The sequence below is a fragment of the Homo sapiens genome, chromosome 5 (assembly GCF_000001405.40).
Source record: "Homo sapiens chromosome 5, GRCh38.p14 Primary Assembly".
NCBI classification, from domain to species: domain Eukaryota; kingdom Metazoa; phylum Chordata; class Mammalia; order Primates; family Hominidae; genus Homo; species Homo sapiens.
This window is the reverse complement of record NC_000005.10, coordinates 43,057,384-43,065,186: the sequence shown is the minus strand read 5'-3', so window position 1 is coordinate 43,065,186 and position 7,803 is coordinate 43,057,384. Positions and strand designations below refer to the sequence as shown.

General features: G+C 45.1%; 1 long non-coding RNA gene across 1 annotated transcript in view, besides 1 other annotated feature; it reads left to right on the top strand.

The window, feature by feature from the left end:
• Positions 1–7,803, top strand: part of ANXA2R-OT1 (ANXA2R overlapping transcript 1) — a 52,711-nt gene that overhangs the window by 2,253 nt on the left and 42,655 nt on the right. The gene's annotated exons all lie outside the window — the stretch shown is intronic.
• Positions 6,686–6,980: a silencer, noted in NCBI's record as "tiled region #2707; K562 Repressive non-DNase unmatched - State 9:DNaseU". NCBI's record gives its function as "represses a minimal TATA promoter and a strong SV40 promoter by Sharpr-MPRA in K562 cells {active_cell/tissue: K562}" and the evidence as "EXISTENCE:reporter gene assay evidence [ECO:0000049][PMID:27701403]".

Sequence of the window (7,803 nt, the reverse complement as noted above, 5' to 3'; positions counted from 1 at the left end):
TTTTCAGTGTCACGTCTCAGGTTCTTTCTAACTTGCCTTCTCCCGTGAGCACTGAAGGCGAGCTAGTTCCCCGCCGCTAGGGTTCTCTTCCGCGGCTCTGCTCTTACGCCGAGCCAGCGGTTTCGCATCCGCACTTTCGCCACTAGGGGCGACTCCGTGTTTTCTCGGTTGCCGCGCTCTTGGTAGCGCTGAACAAAACAACATTCCTTGTTCACAAGACTCACATGTTCTTTGTGGTATCGCTTCCTGTGTCCTAGCACGGCTACTTTCCCCGGGCTGGCTGTCTCACTGTCTCAGCACCGTGATTGGGCAAGACTGCTGGCAGGGCTTGGCCTCGGTTTTTCTGTCACAGGCGTATTTCACTGGGTAGGCGCTTTCTCGGTGGAAGCACCCTACAACCTTCCAACCACCGATATTTCTCAGAGACGAGTTTCTTAGTAGCAATGCCTTAACTGCGCCAAAAATAAAGTTTGCCACAGGACACACCGCTATTCAGTGTGACACTTGATATTGATGCAGGATTTTGGCTCCTCAGCTCAGCTAAGTCCAGGTTGTTGTTGTTGTTGTTGTTTGGAGACGGAGTCTCGCTCTGTCGCCCAGGCTGGAGTGCAATGGCGCCATCACTGCTCACTGCAGCCTCCGCCTCTCAGGTTCAAGCGATTCTCCTGTCTCAGCTTCCTGAGTAGCTGGGATTACAGGCACACGCCACCACTGCCACCTAATTTTTGTATTTTTCGTAGAGACAGGGTTTCACTATGTTGGCCAGGCTGGTCTTGAACTCCTGACCTCAGGTAATCCACCCACCTCGGCCTCCCAAAGTGCTGGGATTACAGGCGTGAGCCATCGCGCCCGGCTAAGTTCAGGTTTTTGTTTCACCATCATGAAGAAATGGGCACGCAGATATCGAAGAGTGAGTGCAGTAGAATTTACTAAGCGAAAAGGAAAGCTCACAGCAAAAAGAGGGGTCCTGAGAACAGGTTTCTGGTTGCCCCCTTAATATTTAAATACAAGGGCTTTTATTTAAAAGCTGATGGGGCTAGGTTCCCTGTTTGTATAAGGCGCAAATTCCTGGTGGCTCCACCCCCATTGCCCCAGTGCATATGCGGGCCCTTAGTCAGCAAGGGCACATTTAGGCCAGGCGCCTGTGCAAGTTCTTTTATTCCGGAGGTTCTCTGGGGACCCTTCCCTTACTGTGTGCCTAAAGCAAGCTGGCTGACTCCTTTTCCTGTGTCCCAGTACCCCTGGTTCCTCAGACTGTAACTTTCTCAGTTGCAGCACCGCTCACTTGTCAAAGCAGGATTGACCTCCGTGGCAGCACCGCTGGTGGGTCCAGCCCGCAGCTTCTCCTAAACAGTTTCGCTAGTTTCTGGGTCCTAGCACTGCTAGTGGTACCATAGCGGCTCTTCATGGGTCGTGGACTTGCAGGATGTTTGCCAACTCCATCCCACGCTGCCTCCCTAGGTTCAGCAGCCGGCCAAAAGGAACAGACTCCTGCAAAGGAACAACCTCGAGGGCTGGATATTTAGGAGCCACATTTATAGGGGCTTTTCTTTCTTTAAAAAAAAACACAACCGGCCATTAGAAGCATGACACTGAGTAATAGATAAGTCCTAATCATAGTCCTTAAGACATGTTTTCATAACTGGTATATGCACTTATATTTGTTTATCCACTTGTTTATAATAATGCATTAAACCCTAAAATTGACACACTAATTTTCAACAGTTATTATTTCAGAGATGCATGGTATCCATTTCCTGTTGTTCAATTTCTCTCCTTCCATCCGCCTTTACATTTCTATTTTTAAAATGTTAATTTTTTCCAAATTCCATCCTGCCACCTTTCTTTTCTTTTCTTTCTTTCTCTCTCTTTCTTTTTCCTTCCTTCCTTCCTTCCTTCCTTCCTTCCTTCCTTCCTTCCTTCCTTCCTTCCTTCCTTCCTTCCTTCCTTCCTTCCTTCCTTCCTTCCTTCCTTCCTTCCTTCCTTCCTTCCTTCCTTCCTTCCTTCCTTCCTTCCTTCCTTCCTTTCTTTTCGACGGAGTTTTACTCCTGTTGTCCAGGCTGGAGTACAATGGCGAGATCTCGGCTCACTGCAACCTCCGCCCCACCCCCTCCCCGGGTTCAAGCAATTCTCCTGCCTGGGACTACAGACGCGGGCCACCATGCCCGGCTAATTTTGTATTTTTAGTAGAGACGGGGTTTCTCCATGTTGGTCAGGCTGGTCTCGAACTCCTGACCTGAGGCGATCGGCCCGCCTCGGCCTCCCAAAGTGCTGGGATTACAGGCGTGAACCACCGCGCCCAGCCCATCCTGCCTTTTTTTTTTTTTTTTTTTTTTTTTTTGAGCCAGAGTCTCGCTGTTTCCCAGGCTGGAGTGCAGTGGCGCGATCTCCGCTCACTGCAAGCTCCGCCTCCCGTGTTCACGCCAATCTCCTGCCTCAGCCTCCCGAGTAGCTGGGACTACAGGTGCCCGCCAACACGCCCGGCTAATTTTTTTTTTTTTTTTTTTTTTTGTATTTTTAGTAGAGACAGGGTTTCACCGTGTTAGCCAGGATGGTCTCGATCTCCTGACCTCGTGATCCGTCTGCCTCAGCCTCCCAAAGTGCTGGGATTATAGGCATGAGCCACCGTGCCCGGCCCCATCCTGCCTTCTAAAACCATCTCGTCATATTCTCAAATCTTTCTGACCCTGTATGCTATATTTTCTGATATCCTTTTAAATTTTCTTACCTTTTCCTGTTATTTCCTTTTTATGCAATTCTTCTTTATAGAATTGTAGAGTTTAGCAGTTTTCTCATTTTGCTTTTGTTGCACCTGATTTTTAAATTTTCCTTTCCTTTAAGATTGATTTATTTCCAGCAATCGGATTCCATGGTGCCCTCAAAGCCCTCATCTCTATGGCTAACATAGGAGATGAAAGCTCAGTTCCCACAATACCCAAACACCAGCCACTAGAAGAATCAATGAAGAGAGGGAGAGAAAGAAAAGCAGAGTGTTAGACTTCAGAATAAGAAGTGAGAATGGTCACATGGGAAGCCTGCTTCATATCCAAATCCTAAAAACACTTTCCAATTCCACTTTGACAATTTATTGCCATTTTCTTATACTGATAATTGGTATTTAATTAATCTAACAAGAAGTACAAGGCAAAGACAGTTTTATTCCCACGTTCCATTCAGATTATAGCACCTAAGCTCCTTTATATTCAAATTCAGAACTGTCACTGTGTGAAAAAAAAAAAAAAAAAGTCTTCATAGCTAGACCAAATTAATGCCAACACCAAGTTTCTGGGTTTTAGTTTCTGACATCTAAGGTGACAGAAAAGTTTCAAAGTCCAAAGGGTGATTGCTACTGCATGTTTTTTTTATCACTTTCTGAAGACAACCATTTTTCTGTGCCTGACACACTGCATGTTGAAGCTATGAGGATGCATAAATCTTTTTCCTGGGATACCTGCAGCTTGAAGGAGTGAGTCTCAGATGCTGCAGGCCCGGAGCTGGGTAGAGATTGTGAGAGAATAGCCTCCTTGGGCCAAGTATGCACCGGTGATGTACTTGAGCCTTCAGTGTTGCTAGATCTTGAAGTTTTGCTGAATATTTGGTTTTGCTGGATCCAATCCATGTGGATTTTTGAGGTGGGCGGGCCCCACATTGGCAGAATTATGCAACTGCCTGAGAATGCCTGACCTGGAGCTGATGCCCTGAAATGCCATGGTTGTCAATTCAAAAGGCACAGGGCTGGGGGTCTTCCTCATGGCTCCCTAAATTTAATTTCCACCTCCACCCTGTAAACGTAAACTTCAGACCATTGAAGGAATATTTATTGATGGTTGTTCTCTGCTCTCAGCAGGGAGGCCAAGCTCAGTTTCAAGAGAATCCCAGGACAGTGGAGCACTGTCCCTTCCCACCCTGGTGATATCCATAGCTATTCAAAGGCTCCCTGGAGTTCAGCCTCCAGCTCTGATCTGGGTCCCAGTCCCTTTCATGCCCCTGCCCACCTGTATGTGTTTCCAATCCTGACTCCACCAACCTCAAATCTATTTCACAAGTGGAGAATACAGAAGAATGCTTTAATCCTCATGTACAAAGAACTATGAATTCTAAGAAGATCTAAAAGTAGAGTTCCTTAGCACATTGTTGATTATGCAGATAGAATTTTTCCAATTGAAAAACCTTGAAGGCGTTCAGAAGATGAAGAACAAAATATGGAAGGATGTCTACTGCAGAGACTTCCAGCTCAAGGCAGGGCACAGTCCTATGAAGGTTCCCCAAGAACAGCATGAGTGCTCCCACTGAGGTGCATGGGCTTCTTCTAGGGCATTGTTATAAAGGAGTGGTGCCATGAACCATGACCAAGACCGGGGTTCCTTTCTTTTCTGGGTTCCAGTCTGTCCTAAGCCTTAGTTTTCAGCAATTTCTTGTGGGCAGCCTGGGCTCTGCTCTAGGCATCTATCTGTCCAGCTTCACAGGTTGGCATGTCCTGGCTGGGTCATGGCCCATTGTGTTGTGTTGTCTATAGGATGCACTTATTTTTCTTTTTACTTTTTTTTTTGTTTATAGGCTATTTATTGAGAAGTTGTTTTCTAAAATGCTACTTTCTTTTTAAAATTTTTTTATTATACTTTTAAGTTCGAGTGTACATGTGCACAATGTGCAGGTTTGTTACATACATATACATGTGCCAAGTTGGTGTGCTGCACCCATTAACTCATCATTTACATTAGATATTCCTCCCAATGTTATCCCTCCTCCCTCCCCCCACCCCATGACAGGCCTGGGTGTGTGATATTCCCTACCCTGTGTCCAAGTGTTCTCATTGTTCAATTCCCACCTATGAGTGAGAGCGTGTAGTGTTTGGTTTTCTGTCCTTGTGGTAGTTTGCTCAGAATGATGGTTTCCAGTTTCATCCATGTCCCTGCAAAGGACATGAACTCATCCTTTTTTATGGCTGCATAGTATTCCATGGTGTATATGTGCCACATTTCCTTAATCCAGTCTATCATTGATGGACATTTGGGTTGGTTACAAGTCTTTGCTATTGTAAATAGTGCTGCAGTAAACATACATGTGCATGTGTCTTTATAGTAACATGATTTATAATCCTTTGGGTATATACCCCGTAATGGGATGGCTGGATCAAATGGTATTTCTAGTTCCAGATCCTTGAGGAATCACCACACTGTCTTCCGCAATGGTTGAACCAATTCACACTCCCATCAACAGTGTAAGAGTGTTCCTGTTTCTCCACATCCTCTCCAGCATCTGTTGTTTCATGACTTTTTAATGATCGTCATTCTAACTGGTGTGAGATGGTATCTCATTGTGGTTTTGATTTGCATTTCTCTGATGACCAGTGATGATGAGCATTTCTTCATGTGTCTGTTGGCTGCATAAATGTCTTCTTTTGAGAAGTGTCTGTTCATATCCTTTGCCCACTTTGTGATGGGGTTGTTTGATTTTTTCTTGTAAACTTGTTTAAGTTCTTTGTAGATTCTGGATATTAGCCCTTTGTCAGATGGGTAGATTGCAAAAATTTTCTCCCATTCTGTAGGTTGCCTCTTCACTCTGATGGTGGTTTCTTTTGCTGTGCAGAAGCTCTTTAGTTTAATTAGATCCCATTTGTCAATTTTGGCTTTTGTTGCCATTGCTTTTGGTGTTTTAGTCATGAAGTCATTGCCCATGCTTGTGTCCTGAATGGTATTGCCTAGGTTTTCTTCTAGGGTTTTTATGGTTTTTAGGTCTAATATTTAAGTCTTTAATCCATCTTGAATTAATTTTTGTATAAGGTGTAAGGAAAGGATCCAGTTTTAGCTTTCTACATATGGCTAGCCAGTTTTCCCAGCACTATTTATTAAATAGGGAATCCTTTCCCCATTTCTTGTTTTTGTCAGGTTTGTCAAAGATCAGATGGTTGTAGATGTATGGTATTATTTCTGAGGGCTCTGTTCTCTTCCATTGGTTTATCTCTCTGTTTTGGTACCAGTACCATGCTGTTTTGGTTACTGTAGCCTTGTAGTATCCTTTGAAGTCAGGTAGCATGATGCCTCCAGTTTTGTTCTTTTTGCTTAGGATTGTCTTTGAAGGGGGCCAGCCCCTCCACACCTGTGGGTATTTCTCATCAGGTGTGATGAGAGACTGAGAAAAGAAATAAGACACAGAGACAAAGTATAGAGAAAGAACAGTGGGCCCAGAGGACCAGCGCTCAGCATATGGAGGACCCGCACCGGCTCTGGTCTCTGAGTTCCCTCAGTATTTATTGATCACTATCTCTACTATCTTGGTGAGGGGGATGTGGCAGGGTGGGGAGAGGGTCAGCAGGAAAACATGTGAACAAAGGACTCTGTGTCATAAATAAGTTTAAGGAAAGGTGCTGTGCCTCGATGTGCTTGTAGGCCAGATTTATGTTTGACTTTACACAAACATCTCAGTGCAGTAAAGAGCAGTATTGTCGCCAGCATGTCTCACCTCCAGCCATAAGGCAGTTTTCTCCCATCTCAGTAAATAGAATGTACGTTCGGGTTTTACACCAAGACATTCCATTCCCGGGGACGAGCAGGAGACAGATGCCTTCCTCTTATCTCAACTGCAAAGAGGCCTTCCTCTTTCACTAATCCTCCTCAGCACAGACCCTTTATGGGTATCGGGCTGGGGGACGGTAAGGTCTTTCCCTTCCCACGAGGCCATGTCTCAGGCTGTCTCAGTGGGGAGAAACCTTGGACAATACCCAGGCGTTCTTGGGCAGAGGTCCCTGTGGCCTTCGACAGTGCATTGTGTCCCTGGGTACTTGAGACCAGAGAAGGGTGATGACTTTTACCAAGCATACTGCGTGCAAACACATTTTTAACAAAGCACATCCTGCACAGCCCTATATCCATTAAACCTTGAGTCAACACAGCAAATATTTCTGTGACCACAGGGTTGGGGCTAGCGTTACAGATTAATAGCATCTCAAGGCAGAAGAATTTTTCTTACTACAGAACAAAATGGAGTTTCTTATGTCTTCTTCTTTCTGCATAGACACAGTAACAGCCTGATCTCTCTTTATTTCCCCCACAGTCTTGGCAATGTGGGCTCTTTTTTGGTTCCATGTGAACTTTAAAGTAGCTTTTTCCAATTCTGTGAAGACAGTCATTGGTAGCTTGATGGGGATGGCATTAAATCTATAAATTACCGGCCGGGCGCGGTGGCTCATGCCTGTAATCCCAGCACTTTGGGAGGCTGAGGTGGGCGGATCACGAGGTCAGGAGATCCAGACCATCCTGGTTAACATGGTGAAACCCTGTCTCTACTAAAAAAATACAAAAAATTAGCCGGGCATTGTGGTGGGTGCCTGTAGTCCTAGCCACTTGGGAGGCTGAGGCAGGAGAATGGCATGAACCCGGGAGGCGGAGCTTGCAGTGAGCCAAGATCAAGCCACTGCACTCTAGCCTGGGCAACAGAGCGAGACTCCGTCTCAAAAAATAAAAAAAAAAAATCTATAAATTACCTTGGGCAGTATGCCCATTTTCACAATACTGATTCTTCCTATCGATGAGCATGGAATGTTCTTCCATTTGTTTGTGTCCTCTTTTATTTCATTGAGCAGTGGTTTGTAGTTCTCCTTGAAGAGGTCCTTCACATCCCTTGTAAGTTGGATTCCTAGGTATTTTATTCTCTTTGAAGCAATTGTGAATGGGAGTTCACTCAGTATTTGGCTCTCTGTTTGTTATTGTTGTATAGGAATGCTTGTGATTTTTGCACATTGATTTTGTATCCTGAGACTTTGCTGAAGTTGCTTATCAGCTTAAGGAGATTTTGGGCTGAGAC